A 21319-nucleotide genomic window follows, 5' to 3' on the forward strand; every position below is an offset into this window, starting at 1 on the left:
CAGCAAATACAATATTTTGTTTCTAATTTAACAAATTTTTAAGACTTATGTTAGTTGTGACATATTTCCAATAAATAATTATGTTTCCCAAGGACACTGGGTACAATAAAGTGGGTCTGACAATTAACTTACCTTTGAAACCTGAGCCCTTCATTAGTTACAGGAATAGACTGGAACATGATTTTTCCTCTCCTGCTTGGAGAACCCACAAGTTGTGTTTTCTTTATGAATATTGGAAATTCTTTCTTTTAGCCAAATGAAGGGTGTGCATTTCTTCGGCCAGGAGTTACCAGGCTGATAATCCTGATGCAGCGGTTCTCAAAGTCTCCTCAGAAGGCCCGCAGTAGCACCAGCAGCACCAAAGGACTTGTTGGAAACACCAGTTTTCTAGGCCGGGCACAGTGGCTCATGCCTGTAATCCCAGCACTTTCGGAGGCCGAACTCCTGAGGTCAGGAGTTTTGAGACCAGCCTGGCCAACATGGCAAAACCCCGCCTCTACTAAAAATACAAAAATTAGCCGGGTGTAGTGGCGGGCACCTGAAATCACAGTTACTTGGGAGGCTGAGGCAGGAGAATCACTTGAACCTGGGAGGCAGAAGTTGCAGTGAGACAAGATCACACCATTGCACTCCAGCCTGGGCGACAAGAGCAAAACCTCTGATTAGAAAAAAAAAAACAAACAGGCGCCGTGGCTCACGCCTATAACCCCAGCACTTCAGGAGGTTGAGGTGGGCGGATCACCTGAGGTCAGGAGTTCAAGATCAGCCTGGCCAATAGAGTGAAACCCCGCCTCTACAAAAACATGATGGCGCGCGACTGTTTCCCATCTACTCAGAGGCTGAGGCGGGAGAATCGCTTGAACCCGGAAGGCGGAGGTTGCAGTGAGCTGAAATCACGCCATTGCGCTCCAGCCTGGGTGACAGAGCAAGACTCCGTCACAAAAAAAAAAAGAAAAAAGAAACACCAGTTTTCTGATTTCACCGAAGACCTACTGCCTCAGAAACTATGAGGGCAGAACCCAGCAATCTGTGCTTTCTTTCACAAGCCCTCCAGGAGTTGCTGAAATTTAGGAATCATTGCCCCAAAAAGTGGCCCTCATAATGATGCCAGGTAAGGAAAGACAACATTATTACCTATGTGTGGTGTGTTAACATTCTTTATGAAACATGTGTGAAGACCTAAATCGAAGACTTTCTCCATGAGATATTCCCTAATCACATTAGTGAAATAAAACTATATTTCCTCTACTTTTCTACTGCTACAGAAATCTCCCCCAGTTAGGATAGTCCCAGTTTCCTATTTATCTTTGTTTTTCTTGCAGTGCACAGCATGTCACCCAGTAATTGATAAGTTTTTTTTTTTTTGAGACGGAGTCTTGCTCTGTCTCCCAGGCTGGAGTGCAGTGGCGCGATCTCGGCTCCCCAAGTAGCTGGGACTACAGGCGCCCGCCATCACGCCCGGCTAATTTTTTGTATTTTTAGTAGAGACGGGGTTTCGCCGTGTTAGCCAGGATGGTCTCGATTTCCTGACCTCGTGATCCGCCCGCCTCAGCCTCCCAAAGTGCTGGGATTACAGGCGTGAGCCACCGCACCTGGCCTAATTGATATGTTTAAATGTTAAAATTAAATGCAATGATTTCCTAAAATAAACAAATGTGGGACAATTTATTGCACTCTGTTCAAATTCCCATTTTGAAGTGGAATTCAAACAAACATGACAGTAAAGGGGGACAGTGAGCACAGGGACAAGAGAAAAGGAGAAAGGGAAGAAATACAGAGAACTAGATAGGAGGAAGTGTCAAAGACTGATGGGTGTAAGCCACCTTTACCTCTGGATATTGGTTTTCCTTTGAATTGTGGTATGTGGTCATATTGCTTATTAGTTATAACATACAGCTGTCAGAAGAGTTTTTCAATTAAAATTTCAAATGTAATATTAAAACTGTTTGGATTCCTTCCTACTGGGCACTGGACACTGTCTGTGGAGCTGCTGGAACAGCGCTGAATAGGGTCATATTTTAAAGGAACTCAGCCTAGTGCAGTTTCTCAACCTTAGCACTATTGGCCTTTGGGGCCTGATAATCCTTTTTTGTGAGGGGCTGTCCTGTGCACTGTAGGATGTTTAGCAGCATCCTTGGCTTCTACTCAGTAGATGACAGTATCAACCCCCTTCCCCAGAAGTGACAATTAAAAATGTCTCCAGACTTTTCCAAATGTCCCCTGAGGAGCAAAATTGTCTCCAGTTGAAAACCACTGGGTTAGTGGGAGAAACAGATAAGACAGAAGTTCTCCATACACCATGATAATGCCATGATGCCATAGGGCTGGCAGGAGTGAAGGGAAGAGCATCTCACAAAGACTCGGGGGGATGCAGGGAGGAGGAAAAATTAGGAAATGAAGTGGGCTGAGTTGCAGTTAGCCTGTGGGGAAAATGAAGGAGAAGGGATAAGGAAGAAGAGGAGGAAGGAGGGAGGAAGAGTGAGGAGTAATAGGGAATTATAGTTGACCTTGAACAACTTGGGGTTTAGGGATGCCGACCCTTGCGTAGTCAAAAATCTGAGCTTAACTTTTGACTACCCTCACACTTTCCTAACAGCCTACTGTTGACCAGATGCTTTACCAATAACATAAACAGTTTATTAACACATATTTTGTATGTTTTATGTATTATACACTGTATTCTTACAATAAGGTAAGCTAGAGAAAAGAAAATGCTATTAAGAAAATTGTAAGGAAGAAAAAATATATTTACTGTTCATTAAGGGGAAGTAGATCATCATAAAGCTCTTCATCCTTGTCATCTTCAAGTTGAATAGGCTGAAGGAGGAGGGGGAGAGAGAAGAGACTGGCCTTGCTGTCTTAGGGGTGGCAGGGATGGTAGAGGTGCAGGAGGTGGAAGGGGAGGCAGGAAAGGCAGGCACACTCGGGGTAGCTTTCGTTGAAAGAAATCTTCATATGAGTGGACCCATGCAGTTCAAACCTGACTTGTTCAGAGTCAACTGTACTTGTTCCAGGCTAAGAACAGAGAATAAAAAAAAAATGTATAGAGGCCTGAAACAGCATATTATATTAAAAGAACTCAAAGCCGGTAAATGCTTTGCTACTGAAGCATAAAGTGAGAAAGGGGCATCATGGGCTCTGAAATTGCAGCCACAAGTCTACAGAACACATTTTTCATAGCCCAAGGTCAGTCTTCTATTACCCTTTGCAGTGAGGTTATCATCATCCATTTTCACTCGTCAGTGCTGGGGAGCCCATTAAATACTTGCCACTATACTTGGTCCCAACAGTTAATAGACTGTAGCATCTTTTATTTCTTCACCTAGCCTGAAATCAGTTGAGCTTTTGCAGAATCTTAGATATGTCGTTTTTTTCTTCAGGTTTAGAATGGGGCACTTAAAAAGATGCATAGTACTTGAAAATAGAGAAAGAAAATAGCATGTAGAAATTTGTGCCTTTATTCTGCCCAAACGTCTCAAAAAGGAAAAAAATAATTTTAAGGGTAAATATTGTCATCAATTTATCTGAGCTCTTTTGACTTCCTTTGAGCCTGAAAAACAGGATCAGTGTCTTTTTAGTATTTACCATAGTGCCTGATATGTAGAAGGTGTTTGACCAATGTTTATTAGATAAATGTTCACTTTTATTACTAGTAATATTAACCACATTTTAATAGAGACTAATAATACATGATAAACTTCTCAAGGATGCGATCTCATTTGATCACTATAACAACCCAATGAGGTAAGCGAGGAATAGTTGTTAACTCTAATACATGTTATATCTTATCCTTGACCCAGTATTACCCCAGTCATGCCTTCCTTTCCCTGCAATGAAAGAAAACCGATAAACACAAAATGTTGTATCCCATATAAGCATTCATTCTTATGGTAGATAAGTAAATGGAAAAGATAGGTATGCATTCTCAATTTTTTTAAGTCCTAGAATTATAAAACAGTAAAGAAGTGAGAAGAGAGAGAAATCTTAAGGGACCAACCTCTTGATTTTACAGGTGAGAAAACTGAGGCCACATAGCCATTTAGTGCAGAGCCAGGATTATAAACCAGATGTTTGGAATCCTATGTGGTGGTGGACACGAGGATATACTAATTAGCGTCGTTACCGGAAAATTCCACATATCTCTAAGGAGCAGATCACCACACACCTGCACAGCCCAAGCCTGGATTGTGGAGGTTTTTCTTGTAGAGTTTGTCTTTGATAGAAAGATACGGTCCAGAAGGCCGGCTTCAAGGACATAAGAAAGGGCATATTCAAAACAAATACATGTATGCCTATTCTTTTAAACCGGTACTTAACAATAGTATCCAGGTGTCCAAATATAATAGCTTATCTGTTTTATTTTTTCCAGAAAAGGAAACAAGGTCTTAGAGAGGTTACATTTTGCATAGGATTTTGTTAGCCAAGTCAGCATCTGTTTGCATCTTAAAAATGAGTCATACCTATTCCTTGTAAGTAGGACAGGAGGGCAGCTGGAATTTCCCAGCTCACTCCTTGTCACTGCTTCCTGCCTCTGCTGCTCTTTGTCCTCCACAGCACGCTTCATTGGCTAAAAAGTGAACCAGATACTACATTACCTCAGGGCAGTTGTAAGTACTGAGTCAGATGCCTTAGGCTTGTGTGATGGGAAGTTTAGGGCGAGACCAATGTCTTGCTTTAACAACAGTGTGAATAAGTTAATTTCTTTTGAGATTTTATTACTCAATATTCCACCCAGAAAGAAACACAGATGACACTCAGCCAATCAAAGGCCATCTGGGACTGACAAACGCAGAGCTTGTTGTAGATGACAAGGCTCAGTGGATGGATCATCACTGAAAGAAAGGGAAACAGTTTGAACTGTTGTATCTCTCTCCTTGCTCACATGAAAAACAAAAAAATCCTTGGCCAGTTGCGGTGGCTCACGCCTGTAATCCCAGCACTTTGGGAGGCCCAGGCGGGCAGATCACTTGAGGTCAGAAGTTCTGGACCAGCCTGGCCAACATGGCAAAACCCCGTCTCTACTAAAAATACAAAAATTAGCCGGGCGTGGTGGCACACACCTGTATTCCCAGCTACTTGGGAGGCTGAGGCATGAGAATTGCTTGAACCTGGGAGGTGGAGGTTGCAGTGAGCCAAGGTCGTGCCACTGCACTCCAGCCTGGATGACAGAGTGAGACTCCGTCTCAAAAAAAAAAAAAAATTCCTTAACCACAGACTAAGTAAGCATTATTGCACAGAGTGTCATTCGCTAATCTTGCTTGTGCCTGAACTTTGAAAGCACCAGCCCCTTGCTTTGGGGGCTGGGGGCGTGGGGTGTAAGTGTGTGTGTCCTCTAGAAGAAGACAACACTGAGAACAGAAGGAGAGGATCTTGGAGATTTGTTAATTTCCTATTGCAGTTAGCCTTGTCTGGGGCTCTCACTTTAGCACTTAAAATAACATACTCCTTTGCACAGATGTTATTTTTTTCTCTTCATGTGTACAACTTGAATTATCCAATGGCCTTGCTTTGAGGATATTCATCCTATCTTATTGATCCTGTCACTGTGTAGGACAATGGAGAACACAGTAAAAAACCCTCAATGGATACTACTTACACTAAATTAACTCTATGAATTCAAAATTTGAAGATGCTACTTAATCATGTAAGCCTGGTTCTCCAAAACTTCATCTGCCATGGGAAAAATCAAAGCTTGTAAAATGATTAAACTTGTAAAGGAATTAAACTCTAGGATTCACTCATTTTATAATTGGTATTTTCACCCTAAGAGCTTTCTTTTTCCTCTCTGGTGTTTAAAAACAAAGTAAAACCAGACAAAACAAGATTAACTAAATTAAAACCCCTGTGACTTTAAAAAATGTAGCCAAGAATAATGTGCAAGTGTCTAGTTAGGCCAATAGATATCCTTAACATACGTGAGCTGGGAACACAAATGAGCATGAAGGGCAAGGAAGAGCACCACCCCCTGCTTCTTTTCCTGCTCCTGTTCTTGCAGAGGGTCAGGCTTGGAGACCACATATGGTCAGCTCAACACTCAAGTCCACCAAGCAGCCCATGAGGAACTCTTCCTTCCAGAGTTGTGCACACCATGCAGTGTGGTCCACCTGCAGAAGCACACAACAGGCGCTGCCTGGGCCAGAGGTCCATTCAGGCCATGGAATTGGTCTCAATGCCATTTAGGCATGAATCCAGGGTCCTGGGTACCAGACGCATGGTCTAGGTAGGGGGTGTCATGTACTAGGTGAGCATGGGGTTCCGCTGGGCATGTTCCCTTGTCTTGTAGGATGTTAGCTCTGAGGGGCGTGGCTGGAAGAAGGCTAGCCTTGAGCCCTCTAAAAGGCAGGGCTCAGGGCAAAGCTCCCAGTTGCTCAGGCCTGTGGGTAATACTGCTTAAAAATCCCCTTGAGAACTTCTTTAAAATGCAAATATCTCGATTCTTTTGTAGTTCAAAAGCATGATGATTGGGTGTTCACAGGCATGTGTAAGACGTGACACCCTCTGAACCTCCTTATGACCCGGTACATTACCTGTCTGACCTGAAAAAAAAATGCAAATTTCTGGATTCTACCCGCCTCCCCGCACTCCGACATTACGATGTAGCAGCTCTGTGGTAGGATCCAGGAATCTGCCTGTGTAATCACAGGTTGATATTCTGGTGTTTCCTGGTTTTGCTCTGCTGATTTGGGGGATGTTTACCAGCAGGAGAGCAGCCTCTTTCCTCTGCCCTCCTCCCTTGCTGCCCTCCCCAGACCCCAGTGACTCACGCTCCTCCTGCTCCTCCTGTTGCTGGCCTCTCTGTTGTGGTTGCCAGCGCTACTTTGCAGACGCTGCCTGCTCCCTGCACGCCAACACAGATTCTGTTTCCCTGCGACCGCTGCTGCTGTTGTTTGTTCCGTCCCTGGTTTATTGTAGGAGAGCTGATTGTTCTGTTGCCACTGCTACCAAGCTGCAAACACCAGGCTCACGGTGCAAGGGGAAGGGGCTTCTCCTCTGGGTGTTCTGCCTCTATCGCCTAGGCTCTCAGGCTTTGTTGCCAATGGCACTGCGAGACCCTAAACTATGGCCTTGTGATTCCCACATCTCCATTTAGTTCTTTCTTTTGTTCTCTAAGATCTGAGAAGGAGCCCATGTCTTTCAGTGTTCCTGTTTTCTTGCGATACTTCCCCCCTCCCCGACTCCAGAATTTAGGGCAACCTTCTGCTGTGGTCTGAATGTTTATTTCTCTCCACCCCGCCAAACTTATATGTTGAAATCTTAACCCCTAAGGTGGTGGTATTAGAAACTGAAGCCTCTGGGAGGTAATTAAGTTATAAGGACAAAGCCCTCATGAATGGGATTACTGTTCTTATAAAAAAAAGGCCCCAGAGAGCTAGCTAGCTCCTTCCACCATGTGAGGACACAACGTGAAGGTGCTGTCTATGAGGAAGGGTCCCTCACCAGACACCAATCATCTGGCACATTGATCTTGAACTTCCTATCCTCCAGAACTGTAAACAAATAAATTTCTCTTGCTTATAAACCATAAGTTCATGATTTTTTTTTTTTTTTTGAGACGGAGTTTCGCTCTTGTTGCCCAGGCTGGAGTGCAATGGTGTGATCTCGGCTCACAACAAACTCCGCCTCCCGGGTTCAAGCGATTCTCCTGCCTCAGCTTCCCAAGTAGCTGGGATTATAGGCATGCGCCACCATGCCTGGCGAATTTTGTATTTTTGGTAGAGACAGGGTTTCTCCATGTTGGTCAGGCTGGTCTCGAACTCCTGACCTCAGGTGATCCACCCGCCTCGGCCTCCCAAAGTGCTAGGGTTACAGATGTGAGCCACTGCACCTGGCCAAGTTCATGATTTTTGTAATTAGCATCCAAAATGGACTAAAACCCCCATCCTCCTGAAGGTTCTGAATCTGAGGACCCAAGACTTGGCTCTCAGCCTTAATGTCCTGCTCCCACTATTTTCAGGGGGCCCAATATAAATTTCCTGAGTTTTTGAGGTGGTTGGGCTTGCAGACTGACCTTTAGTATGCCCTTTGTTACATTTACAAAATAGATTGCTTACAGGGTTAGACAAATACAGTTGACCCTCTGTATCCCTGCCTTCCATATCCATGGGTCAAAATTATTTGGAAAAAAAAATGTGTCTGTATTGAACATGTATAGATTTTTTTTTTGTATATTTCCTAAACTATATCGTATAATAACTACTTACAGAGCATTCATATTGTATTAGGCATTATAAGTAGTGTAGTTATGATTTAAAGTATGTGAGAGAATGTGCACAGGTTATACAGAAATACTACACCATTTTTTTTTTTTTAATCAGGGACTGAAGCATCTTTTCAGCTATGACTTTGGTATCCGGTGGCGGGTGGGGCGGTGGGTGGGTCCTGGAACCATTCCTCCATGAATACCAAGGGATAACTCTAATTGCTAAATCGTTTCCTATTTTTGTGAACTGGTAAAGGACTGCATGAGAAAGGCCAAAAATTAAAGAATAATATGCTTATTCAAGCCCGGTGTGGTGGCGGGCACTTGTAGTCCTAGCTACTTGGAAGGCCGAGATGGGCCCAGGAGTTTGAGGCTATAGAGGGCTATGGTTGCACCTGTGAATAGTCACTGCACACTAGCTCGGGCAACATAGCTAGACCCTGTCTCTAAAAAAGAAAAATTCTGCTGTAATAAACCTGCACGCATAAAATGATGTCTATGTGTCTATATAGTGTGTATATACATATGTGTTTAGGAAATGTGTATATATGTGTGTGTGTTTGTGTGTGTGGATACTGTATTAGTTAAGACAAAAAAATCTGGCTTCATATGTTATAAAATAATGTCTGGAGCTATCCACTCAAGTGTGCTTTCTTGTTTCTCTGTTTTTTTTTTTTTCCTATTTCATTCAGTGGTTTTCACTGCCTTTGGGAAAAAGTGACACAGCAAAACACTTAGAAGAATCAAATGTTTATCCTTTGAGAATGTGGTCTGTACATAAGAGAAAACATTTAGAATCAAATTATGAGACTAAACCAGTTTCCCTCACCTGCAGCTAGATAAAAATTTCTAAGAGGAAGGAGAGAATCAGGAAAGATTGAAGACTTGACTCCCTGATAAGGGTTCTGCCCGAGTTCTGAGAATGGAGAATAAAAGACACCCTCCCCCTCTCTAATAGATTTTGTCAGTGAAGGTCAGAGAGGCCCACGAAATCAGGTCTGGGGAGCAAGGTAAAACCCAGAATTTCTACATGATCATGTTAAAGAGGGAATAAAGGAATATCATTATAGTGTATCTGGGCAGGTGGGCATGAGACAGCCTGATTGAGTTCCTGAAATCCCAGGTCGGTGTGGGAGCAGCAGAATATTTTAGGTGGCTGAGAGCTCCATAGTTTCTTTCTTTCTTTCTTTCTTTGAGATGGAGTCTCACTCTGTTGCCCAGGCTGGAGTGTAGTGACGCGATCTCTACTCACTGCAACCTGTCTCCCTGGTTCAAGTAATTATGTCTCAGCTTCCTGAGTAGCTGGGATTACAGATGTGTGCCACCACACCTGGCTAATTTTTTTTTATTTTTAGTAGAGATGGGATTTTATCATGTTGCCCAGGCTGGTCTCAAACTCCTGACCTCAAGTGATCCACCTGCCTCAGCCTCACAAAGTGCTGGGATTACAGGTGTGAGCCACCAGCAGTCCCAGCTACTCAGGAGGCTGAGGCAGAAGAATCGCTTGAACCCGGGAGGTGGAGGTTGCAGTGGACCGAGATTGTGCCACTGCACTCCAGCCTGGTGACAGAGCAAGACTCCATCTTAAAAAAAAAAAAACCTTCTCAAGGTATTTTCTGTGCTTCTTGTTTTCTCTTTTGTATTTTTCATCTTTATATCTTTGTGTTTCATTCTGGATAACTTTTAGTGACCTGTCTCCTAGTTCACTAATTCTCTTTTTAGCTATGTCTAGTATTATAATTTGTTTATTGAATTATTAAGTTTAGGTATCAAATTTTCAGCTTTAGGATATCTAATTTGCCACTTGTTTTCTGCCATGATTTTTTTTTTTTTTTTGAGGTGGAGTCTTACTCTGTCACCCAGGCTGGAGTGCACTGGTGTGATCTTGACTCACTGCAAGATCTGCATCCCGAGTTCACATCATTCTCCTGCCTCAGCCTCTCAAGTAGCTGGGACTACAGGCGCCTGCCACCACGCCCAGCTAATTATTATTATTATTATTATTATTTGTATTTTTAGTAGAGACAGGGTTTCACCATGTTAGCCAGGATGGTCTCCATCTCCTGACCCCATGATCCACCCACCTTGGCCTTCCAAAGTGCTGGGATTACTGGCATGAGCCACTGCACCTGGCTTCTGCCATAATTTTTAACCTTGAGTTTTACCTACTTAAACATAGCAAACACAGTTGTTTATATATTTATCTAATAATTCCAGTATCAGGAGCCTCTGGAGTCTACTTTTGTCTACTTTCATTGTTTTTTGTTTTTTAAATTTACATTAACAGTGTCTAGTCTGTATTTATGCCTGGTTACTTTTGATTGTGTGCTAGACATTGTTTTTGGCAAATAATTTTTTAAACACAATATGTACAAATCATATGAAGCCTAGACTGGTGTTTTGTTCACCAAAAAAGATTTTAAATTACTTCAGTTACGTTCCTAGGGACACTATTAACTCAGGATGATGTTAATTGAAGTTTCAGATTTGATATTTTCCAGGTCAACTGGACCAACTGTCCCTGCTATATGATTTATTTCCTAAAGCAATATCAAGTTCAGCTCTGCACCTCTCTTATATACTATGGAGCTCTCAGTCACATAAAATATTCTGCTGCTCTCACACTGCCCTGTAGTTCATAAGAGGAACAGTTTACTGTTAATCCGTATTACTCTTACATCTAGGGTGTAGCTCTTTGAGCTACCAGTCCAAAGTGAAGAATAATTTACTGAATTCCTACTTTGTCTGGCTCTAGGCACTGATTTTTTTTACCCTCTTGGCCACCTATCTTCAATTGGAAAATGCCCTCAATTCAAAAATGCTCCAAGTGCCAAGCTTTCCTATCTGAATTCCCATTTTTTCCTGTATCTGGCTGGCAATTCATTAGAATCCTGCTAGCCCTCTGATGCTTCTAAGATTTTCATCTTTTATTTTTATTTATTTATTCGAGATGGAGTCTTGCTCTGCTGCCCAGGCTGGAGTGCAGTGGTGTGATCTTGGCTCACTGCAACCTCCATCTCCTAGGGTTAAGTGATTCTCCTGCCTCAGCCTCCCAAGCAGCTGGGACTACAGGCATCCACCAGCATGCCCGGCTAATTTTGTATTTTTAGTAGAGATGGAGTTTCACCATGTTGGCCAGGCTGATCTTGAACTCCTAACCTCAGGTTATCTGCCTGCCTTGGCCTTCCAAAGTGTTGGGTTTATAGGCATTAGCCACCATACCCAGCCTGAAGTTTTGATTAAAAATGCTTTACTGGGCTGGGCATGGCAGCTCACGCCTGTAATCCCAGCACTTTGGGAGGTTGAGGCGGGCAGATCACTTGAGGTCAGGAGTTCGAGACCAGCCTGACCAACATGGTGAAACCCCATCTCTACTAAAAATACAAAAATTAGCCAGGTATGGTGGTGCATGCCTGCAATCCCAGCTACTCAGGAGGCTGAGGCAGGAGAATCGCTTGAATCTGGGAGGCAGAGGTTGCAGTGAGCCGAGATCGTGCCACTGTACTCCAGCCTGGACAACAAGAGCGAGACTCCGTCTCAAAAAAAAAAAAAAAAAAAAAAAAAAAAAAAAAAAAAAAAAAAAAACTTTACCGGAATTAAAGCCCAGTCATCTTGAAGCCATGATCATGACGCTGTGGAAGAACCGGTGAGGTAGGATGAGACATATTCTCAGATGCTATGCTGATTTGGGGCTGTGATGATTTTGGACCATAGACTATGATGAGGCTTCAAAAAGAGTGCAATAGTGTATTTTAATTTCTTTGGTTAGATTCAAATTAATCTTCAGAAAGACAAAATGCAGATGTAGTCTTGTTAGAGCTTGCTGATGAGACTAAATTTTCCAAGTGTTTGAGGAATGCCTAACAGGGGAAAGGCAAAGCAAACTATTTTTAATGACCTTATGGCTCTGAATTGCTAAAAGGGAGTCAGTCCACCAGGCTCAGGCTACTTGGAGTAGAGGATCCTGTTTCAGTGACAAACTGGCTCATCCCTTAATCTGCCATAAAATGATGGCTTAGCATACATGTAGGAGCTGGGGCTAAGGGAGAAGGAGGTGCTGTGTTTTGCAGAAGAAGCTACATTCTGTAGTAAGGCCTGACTCTTCCCTGGCCTTGGAGGGGAAATACTTGTGAGACAGTGGCCAGGATCAGCTGAAGTGCCCTCTCTTCTTGCTTTGCCTATGGGACACTGAGCCCCTTTTTGTGGAATATATTCATCCAGAGAACCCTCACACCTTATAATGCATAAAGTGATAAAGGCTTGGAGATCTGGAGAAACCCAAGGTGCGATCCCTGGCTCTAGAAGAAACTCTGGGCAGCCAGCATGATTTACTTTTCTCTGCTCCAAAGACTGGAGGATAAATTAAAGGAAAAGAGGGTATGACCCAGCAATCCACTGGTGCGAGTTGTTGCTTTAAGCAAAGACTACTGCTTCTCTTCCTGATTTTCCCCTGACCATACTCTCCCAGAGGTGTCTCCCAGCAACCACCAGAGTTGTGGTTAAGTACACCTAGCCAATCCAATAAATCTAAAGGAGATGCAGTCCACACAACCTTGCATGACTTGTCATGTGAGTTACTGTTCTGGAGAGACAAACTCAGGCTGGAAACTTATTTGAGATAGCTTATGAAAACAAAGATAATTTATGATAAGGATACAGGCACTCTCATACAATCTAAGGTAGAAAAACAGCTAAGCATCAGAACAAACTGGACCAAAGACTTAAACACTTCTGCTCCTTTGTGTAATTGGTTTCATGCGTTTCTCTCTCTCCCTTCCTCTCTCTCTTTTCTCTCTGTGGACTAGGTTTTTCTACTTTTCATATACAAATTTTAAAAATACAATTTCTGGCCAGGTGCAGTGACTCACGCTTGTAATCCCAGCACTTTGGGAGGCCGAGGGAGGTGGATCACTTGAGGCCAGGACTTTAAGACCAGCCTGGCCATCATGGTGAAACTCCATCTCTATTGCAAATACAAAAATTAGCCGGGTGTGATGGTGCACGCCTGTAATCTCAGCTACTTGGGAGGCTGAGGCAGGAGAATCGCTTAAACCTGGGAGGCAGAGGTTGCAGTGAGCTGAGATTGTGTCACTGCACTCCAGCCTGGGTAACAGAGTGAGAATCTGTCTCGAAATAAATGAATAAATAAGTAAAATAAACAATAAAAATAAATAAAGACAATTTTAAAAATTTCCCAACATTAAGTGTCAGCAATTTGGAGAGGGACAGCTGTCTCTTGTTCTCTCTCTTCTCCAATTCTCAATTCCTAGGTCTGATGCTTTCCCTGGCTCAACTGACTATGGTTGTGGGGTAGGGCCATGAAACAGAAATATCACATTAGGATCCAACCTTTAATTATGTAGATGGACAGCAGTTTACAGAAAAAGTGGTGGGGAGGTGGAGGGAGGTGCTGAACAGACATTCTAAAAGGGCTCCACCAAAGAAAGCTATTTGTTATATTTATGAACATTCTGGAAAATTCTTTCAATTGTGTTCATGAATAAATTATGATTGGTTAAAAGCTAACACACATGTAGATTATATAACTTCTAAAATTTGTATTTGGTATCTGAATCTATATATTATTTTGGCATGTATAGAAAAATCCCAGATATTTCAAAGGCTATCATTAGAAAAACGTTAATGAAAAGGTTAATGGAATTCTATATATTTAGTTCCTGTGAGAATGTCCAGTTTAACTTTCTTAATCAACTGATGAAGAAACAGAACTGAAATCACAAGATTATAAAGATATTTTAACGATGCATTTAGGTTTTCATTCTAAATGCTGAAAAAAGGTATCCCTGCAAATACTGGTTAAGAAATTAAGAAGTCCAAAACCCAATAATGTAGTTGGCAGCCTGTTATAAAGATTTAGAGTATTCAAAGATAAAGGCAAATAAAAAGACTACTTTTTATACCAGAGTAGAAACAGTTTATTTTCATGATCACTACTCTTACTTCAAATATATCTATTATCTAAGTTGATGCTTGCAAAAAGTCCTGATTCTTACACAAAGGCAGTCGATTCATGGATCTCTTAGAGAGAGAGAAAAAAAAAAAGCTAGTTGGGTGTGTTACAGTTATATGAATCATGTAGGATGCTGCTTAACGCTATATTTATCATGGATGAAGGCATGTTTTCAGGGGAAACTATGAGTCTACCTAAAGTTACCCAGTTCACCTCTGTTCCAAGGGACTCATCTTTTCAGCATTTTGTTTAGCATGTTACAAAGTACCCCGATGTCTTCTAAACTATTAGGATTGCAGGAGGAAACTCTCCCAGAGCTGCTAGAAGTCATCCTTGAAAGTTTGGATTTCTCCCGAAAACTTGTATTTCTATCATTGTTTTAACTATCTTCTTGAATCCTCTTGATCCTGACCTACATGTCCTCTTCCCTTGATTGCATTTAAATTTAGCTGCATATAACCTTGCTCTTTTCCTTCTAATCCAACCTATAAACCATATCAGGGGAGGATATGTGATTTGTCAATTTTGTTGCCTCACTTCCTCCTCAAGAACTTTCAGTGGCTCCATTTTACCTCTGAGATTAAATTGCAGCCACTCATCCTGAGTTTTGGTGTTCCACAATCTGACATATCTAGTCAGCTTTGTGTTCTAGTGTGTTTGTGTTGCTATAAAGGAAGACTGAGACTAGATAGTTTAATAAGAAAAGAGGTTGATTTGGCTCACAATTCTGCTTGCTGGAAGATTGGGCATTTGGTAAAAGCCTTAGGCTGCTTCTATTCATGGCAGAAGAGTAAGCGGAGCCTTCATGTGTGGAAATCATAGGGCAAGGGAGGCAGCAAGGGAGGTGTGGAGAGGTGCCAGGCTCTTTTTAACAACCACTTCTCATGGGAACTAATACAGTGAGAACTCACTGACTCTTTCTACAGGGAGGGCATTAATTTATTCGTGAATGATTCTCCCCCATGACCAAAATACCTCTCATTAGGCCCCACCTCCAACATTGGGATAAAATTTCAACATGAGGTTTGAAGGGGGGACAAACATCCAAACTATAGCATTCTGCTTTGGCCCCCTAAAACTTATGTCCTTCTCACATTCAAATACAATCATTTCTTCCTAATAGTCCCTAAAAGTCTTAACTTGTTCCAGCATAAACTCAAAAGTCCAAAGTCCAAAGTATCACCTGCGACTCAAGGCAACTTCTTTACAGCTGTGAGCTTGCAAAAATAAAAAATGAATTATATTCTTCCATGATACAATGGTTGTACAGGCATTGAGTAAACATTCCCATTTCCCTAAGGGAGAAACTGGCCAAAAGAAAGTGGTAACAGGTCCCATCCAAGTCTGAAACCCAGTGCGGCAGACATTCTTTTTTTTGAGGCAGAGTCTCGCTCCGTCACCCAGGCTGGAGTGCAGTGGTGCGATCTCGGCTCACTGCAAGCTCTGCCTCCTGGGATCACGCCATTCTCCTGCCTCAGCCTCCTGAGTAGCTGGGACTACAGGCAGCTGCCACCATGCCTGGCTAATTTTTTGTATTTTTAGTAGAGACGGGGTTTCACTGTGTTAGCCAGGATGGTCTTGATCTCCTGACCTCGTGATCCGCCTGCCTCAGCCTCCCAAAGTGCTGGGATTACAGACGTGAGCCACCGCGCCTGGCCAGACATTAATTCTTAAAACTCCAAAATAATTTCCTTTGATTCCATATACCACATCCTGGGCATAGTAGTGTGAGGGGTGGGTCCTAAGGCCTTAGGCAGCCCCACTCTTTGGCTTTGCTGGGTGCAGCCCACGTGACTGCTCTCACAGATTGAAGCCCAATGCCTGTGCCTTTTTCAGGCTGCAGTTGTATGTTGCTGGTGGCTCTATAATTCTGGGGTCTGGAGGGTGGTAGCCCTGCTCCCACACCTCCAATAGATAATGCCCAAGTAGAGGCTGTGTGTGGTTGATCTGACCCTATGGCAGACTTCTGCCTGCCTTCCCAGGTGTTCCAATAAATCCTCTGAAATCTAGGTGGAAGCTGCCAAGCCTCCAACATTCTTGCATTATGGGCACCTGCAGATTTCACACCATGAAGCCACCAAGGCTTACCACTTACACCCACCTAAGCAGTGGCTCAAACAGTACCTGGGGCCATTGGAGCCATGGATGGAGCCAGAGTGGCCAGGATGCAGACAGCAGCATCCTGAGGCAGCACAGGGCAGTGGTACCCCAGGCTTGTCCTGCAAAATTATTTTGTCCTCCTAGGCCTCTAGGCTTGTGATGGGAGGAGCAGCCTCAAAGGTTTCTGAAATGCCTTTGGGGCCTTTTTTTTCCAAAGTCTTGGCTATTAGAACCTAGCTCCCACTTAGTCATGCTAATATCTCTCTAGCAAGTGTTTGGCTGCATCCTTGAATTCCTCTCCTGAAAACACTCTTTCTTCATCTACCACAGGGCCAGGCTGTAAATCTTCCAAATTTTTATGCTTTACTTGGTTTTTAGTTACAATTTACAACTTTAGGTCACTCATTTGCTGCCATATCTAGTTTACAATCATATTTACAATTAAAAGCAGTGTAAACCAAAAAGTATCTGAGACAGGTCTCAATCAATGTAAGGGTTTATTTTGCGATGGTTAAGGACCATGGCCCATGACACAGCCTCAGGAAGTCCTGAGAACATGTGCCCAAGGTAGTTTTGTGTAGCTTGGTTTTATACATTTTAGGGAGACAGAAGTTACAGACAAAAACATAAATCAATACATGCAAGGTATACATTGGTTTGGCCCAGAAAGGCAAGACATCTACAAGTGGGGGCTTCCAGGTCATAGGTATATTCAAAAATTTCCTGATTGGCAATGGTTGAATGAGTTAAGCTCTGCCTGAACAGTTGAAGTCAGCTTGAGTTAAGATAAAGAGGTTGGCTGGGCACTGTGGCTCATGCCTGTAATCCTAGCACTTTTAGGAGGCTGAGGTGGTCAGATTGCCACCTGGGCAATCTGTTTGAGATCAGCCTGGGCAACATGATGAGACCCTGTCTTTCCAAAAAATAAAAAAATTAGATGGGCATGGTGGAGCACACCTGTAGTCCTTGCTACTCGAGAGACTGGGGCAGGAGGATTACTTGAGCCCAGGAGGCAGAGGTTGCAGTGAGCTGAGATTGCACCATTGCATTCCAGCCTGGGTGACAGAGCCAGACCCTGTCTGAAAAAAAAAAAAAAAAAAGTGAAAGTCAAGGTTCTTGTCATGTGGATGAAGCCTCCAGGTAGCAGGCTTCAGAGTGAATAGATGATGAATGTCTCTTATTAGAACTTAAAAGGTGTCAGACTCTCTGGAAAAAACTTGGTAAGGGAGAGATTCTCTACAGAACACTAACTTCCTCCACAAGAGACAACATTGCAGGGCCTTTTCAAAATGTCAAATAAATATATTTTGGGATAAAATACTTGTATTGTATTGTATTGTATTGTATTGTATTGTATTGTATTGTATTGTATCGTATTTTTGAGACAGAGCCTTGCTCTGTCATCCAGGCTGGAGTGCAGTGGCACGATCTCGGCTCACTGTAACCTCCGTCTCCCCAGCTCAAGCGATTCTCCTGCATCAGCCTCCTATGTAGCTGGGATTACAGGTGTCCACCACCATGCCTGGCTAATTTTTTTGTATTTTTAGTAGAGATGGGGTTTCACCATGTTGGCCAGGCTGGTCTTGAACTCTTGACCTCAAGTGATCTGCCTGCCTTGGCCTCCCAAAGTGCTGGGATTACTGGGATTACAGGCATGAGCCACCACACCTGGACAATAAAATACTTTTATTTCCTTTAGGTCTTGCTATGTCATGTGATGCTATATCAGAGTCGGGTTCAAATTTGGTATCTTATTGCTACAAAGAGTCTGTCTTGTCAGTCATATGATCTCTGTTTTAATGTTAATGCTGGTCATTTGTGTCTAAACTCCAAAGGGGGAGGGTGTAATAAGGCATGTTGGGTACCCTCTCATCTTGCTATGGCATGAGCTAGTTTTTCAGGTTTCTTTGGGATCTCCTTGACCAAGGGGTCCATTCAGTTGATTGGGGGAGTTTGAATTTTAATTTTGATTTCCAGCAGCCACGCCACTTCTTGAATGCTGTGTTGCTTAGAAATTTCTTCTGCTGCTGGGCATGGTGACTCATGCCTGTGAGAGGCAGGCACTTTGGAAGGCTGAGGTGGGCAGATCAATTGGGCTCAGGAGTTTGAGACCAGCCTGGGCAACATGGCAAAACCCCATCTCTACAAAAAATACAAAAAAAAAACAACAACAAAAAAACAAATCAGCCAGGTGTGGTGGCATGTGCTTGTAGTCCCAGTTACTCGGGAGGCTGAGGTGGGAGAATGACCTCAGCCTAGGAGATGGAGGTTTCAATGATCCTAGATCGTGCCACTGCATTCCAGCCTGAGTGACAGAGCAAGATCCTGTCTCAAAAACAAAACAAAACAAAACAAAATTTCCGCCAGATATCCTAGGTCATCACTCTTAACTGCAGCCTTCCACAAATCCATAGGGCATGGACACAACACAGCCAAGTTTTTTTTTCTAAAGCATAACATGGAACCCTTTGCTCTAGTTCCCAGTAAGTTTCTCATTTCCTTCTGAGACCTGCTCAGCCTTGCCTTTACTATCTATATTTCTATCAGCATTTTGGTCAAAACCACTTAACTAATCTCTAAGAAGTTCCAAACTTTCCCTCATCTGCCTGTCTTCTTCTGAGCCCTCCAGGTTCTTCCAACCTCTGTCCAATGCCCTGTTCCAAAGTTGCTTCCACATTTTCAGTTGTCTTTACAGCAACATTTCACTACTTGGTACCAGTATTCTGACTTTGTCCATTTTGCATTGCTTTAAACGAATACCGGAGGATGGGTCATTTACAAAGAAAGGGGTTTATTTGGCTCACAGTTCTGCAAGCCTGTACAAGAAGCATGGTGCCAGGATTTGCTTTTGGTGAAGGCAAGGAAGCTTCCATTCATGGCAGAAAGTGAAGGGGAGCCTCCATGTGCAGAGATCACATGGCGAGAGAGGAAGAGCGTGAGAGGAGGGGAAGGTACCATGGTCTTTTTAACAGAGGTACAGGCTTTTGAGGGAACTAACAGATTGAGAACTCGCTCACTCCCACCCCTGCCAGGGAGGTCATTAATCTATTCATGAGGGATCCACCCACATAACACACACATCTCACTAGGCCCCACCTCCAACATTGGGATCAAATTTCAACATGAAGTTTGGGAGGGCGAACATCCAAAGTACAGCACCTTGTTTCTTGTTGTTTTCTAATATTTGTTCTTTATCCCAGGAAATGGGGGGTAGGAAGGTGAGTTCTTGGTGTACTCTAAGCAGTCATGCTCAGCCTGTACTATCAAATTTTATTCCATTTATTCTTCTGTTGAGGCTTGCATGACTTCCCTAAGGTACAATGGCAGAGATAGCCACATGGGTAGTAAAATCAGGGGCAGACAGACCAGCTTTCTGCCAGGAATTTACCTCAGGGAAATTCCTCATCTTTGACTTTCCTCGTTCTGACTTTTTTTTCTTTTAATTCCACCTCCTCTCCAAACCTGGCACTATTCCTTTCCGATCTTTATCCTTGTCCTTACTGTTTTGAAGTTGGCTCTTATGCCTGTTTGTCTTTGCAATCTGTCTCTGCGTCGCGTGTTGGTAGTCATTTATTTTTGTCCCTAGTCATGATTCCCAGAACCTTGCTGTGGTCATTTTGATGCCCCACCCTTTGACTATTACAAACCAGGAGAGCTCATGCAAGTGGCCACATGCTGTAGTGGTTAAGAGCACAGGCCCCGTAGCTGAACTTGAAACTCAGCATGACAACATGCTGGCTGTGTGACTAAGGCAAATTAAATGACCACTCTGTGTCCTTATTTTCTTATACATAAAATGGAGCTACAATAGTACCTCCTCATAGGGATGTTGTGAAGCTTCAGTGAGTTAATACAGATATAATGATTAGTTATCTGCCTCCATTAAATCCAATCATCAATACTACCCAGCTTTATTAAAACTTCTGACTTTTGTTTTGGATGTGGCCAGGTCCTGAACTGAATTGTTTTTTCCAGGTCAAATTTAAATCTACCCTCCTTTCCTTTTTCTCAATGCCAAATTGTTCTTCAGTTTCCATCTCTAGCCCCATAATCTTTGATTTCTCTTGCCCACATGGATGGTTACCTTTTCTGAAATGTCATAGCTCTTACAGTGCTAGCCACCTATTTTGATGCCAAATCTTTACACCAACCAGTGTTATCACTTAATCAATTCTTACATCTATGTCTTAACTTCTCCAACCAAACTTAAGACTTGTTGGTGCCAAGAATCAAATCTCATACTTTTGAGTTATTCAAACCATACAGAACAGTAGATACTGAATAAGTATTTGTCTGAATGAATTGTTTGAATAACTTAAAGAGCCTAGAAGCGGCTGGGTGCGATGGCTCATGCCTATAATCCGAGCACTTTGGGAGGCTGAGGCGGGCCGATCACCTGAGGTCAGGAGTTCGAGACCAGCCTGACAAATATGATGAAACCCCGTCTGTACTAAAAATACAAAAATTAGCCGGGCATGGTGGCATGCACCTGTAATCCCAGCTACTCAGGAGGCTGAGACAGGAGAATCTCTTGAACCCAGGAGGTGGAGGTTGCAGTGAGCCAAGATCACACCATTGCACTCCAGCCTGGGCAATAAAAGCAAAACTCCATCTCAAAAAAAAAAAAAGAGCCTAGAAGCTTTCCAGGGTGGTCTTGGGGGTATTGGCTTTAGAAGAGGAAGCTTGATAGATGAAAATTTCCAGATCAACGGCATTTTATGTACTTCTCAGAAACAAGGTATGACTAGACTGAAAGATCTGAAGTCAGGAAGAAACTTCTTGGTATCAGTCTGTGCCCTTAGGAAGAAGTGAGGTCATAAGCTCTATTAGCACACATAGCTGAAAAACTGAAAGAGGATGTAAGAGAAAGGATTGTTAAAAAACAAAAACAAAAAAACACAAAAAACCAAAAATAAAAAATCTGGGTGAGGTATTTGCAATACTAGAGCCAAAGAATTTGACCTAAGAGGCCGGGCGTGGTGGTTCACATCTGTAATCCCAGTACTTTGGGAGGCCGAGGTGGGTGGATCACTTGAGGCCAGAAGTTT

At 42.9% G+C, this 21319-nt stretch overlaps 1 protein-coding gene, 1 long non-coding RNA gene and 1 other non-coding gene across 3 annotated transcripts in view, besides 4 other annotated features; 2 read left to right on the forward strand and 1 right to left on the reverse strand.

The window, feature by feature from the left end:
* TMC1 (transmembrane channel like 1) overlaps window positions 806-21319 on the forward strand; it is a 316690-nt gene continuing 296176 nt past the window's right edge. The window contains exon 1 of the mRNA NM_138691.3: window positions 806-1111. The gene's annotated coding sequence lies outside the window, so the exon portion shown is untranslated. The remainder of the gene's footprint in view (window positions 1112-21319) is intronic.
* On the reverse strand, window positions 2616-6863 carry LOC101927234 (uncharacterized). Its single transcript, XR_001746721.3, has 3 exons — window positions 6765-6863; window positions 4461-4567; window positions 2616-3015 (listed from the first exon to the last, which is right to left on the reverse strand). It is a non-coding gene; the product is annotated as an uncharacterized LOC101927234 (long non-coding RNA).
* Window positions 3949-4510: an enhancer, noted in NCBI's record as "H3K27ac hESC enhancer chr9:75139667-75140228 (GRCh37/hg19 assembly coordinates)". NCBI's record gives its function as "activates a minimal SCP1, AML or CMV promoter by ChIP-STARR-seq in naive H9 embryonic stem cells {active_cell/tissue: H9 hESC(naive)}" and the evidence as "EXISTENCE:reporter gene assay evidence [ECO:0000049][PMID:30033119]".
* Window positions 4511-5072: an enhancer, noted in NCBI's record as "H3K27ac hESC enhancer chr9:75140229-75140790 (GRCh37/hg19 assembly coordinates)". NCBI's record gives its function as "activates a minimal SCP1, AML or CMV promoter by ChIP-STARR-seq in naive H9 embryonic stem cells {active_cell/tissue: H9 hESC(naive)}" and the evidence as "EXISTENCE:reporter gene assay evidence [ECO:0000049][PMID:30033119]".
* Window positions 6063-6112: an enhancer, noted in NCBI's record as "active region_28460". NCBI's record gives its function as "activates an Ori minimal core promoter by ATAC-STARR-seq in GM12878 lymphoblastoid cells {active_cell/tissue: GM12878}" and the evidence as "EXISTENCE:reporter gene assay evidence [ECO:0000049][PMID:35858748]".
* Window positions 6434-6537, forward strand: LOC124902347 (small nucleolar RNA U13). Its single transcript, XR_007061923.1, has one exon. It is a non-coding gene; the product is annotated as a small nucleolar RNA U13 (small nucleolar RNA).
* Window positions 6453-6622: an enhancer, noted in NCBI's record as "active region_28461". NCBI's record gives its function as "activates an Ori minimal core promoter by ATAC-STARR-seq in GM12878 lymphoblastoid cells {active_cell/tissue: GM12878}" and the evidence as "EXISTENCE:reporter gene assay evidence [ECO:0000049][PMID:35858748]".

Source organism: Homo sapiens, chromosome 9, assembly GCF_000001405.40.
Source record: "Homo sapiens chromosome 9, GRCh38.p14 Primary Assembly".
In the NCBI taxonomy this organism is placed as follows: Eukaryota; Metazoa; Chordata; class Mammalia; order Primates; family Hominidae; genus Homo; species Homo sapiens.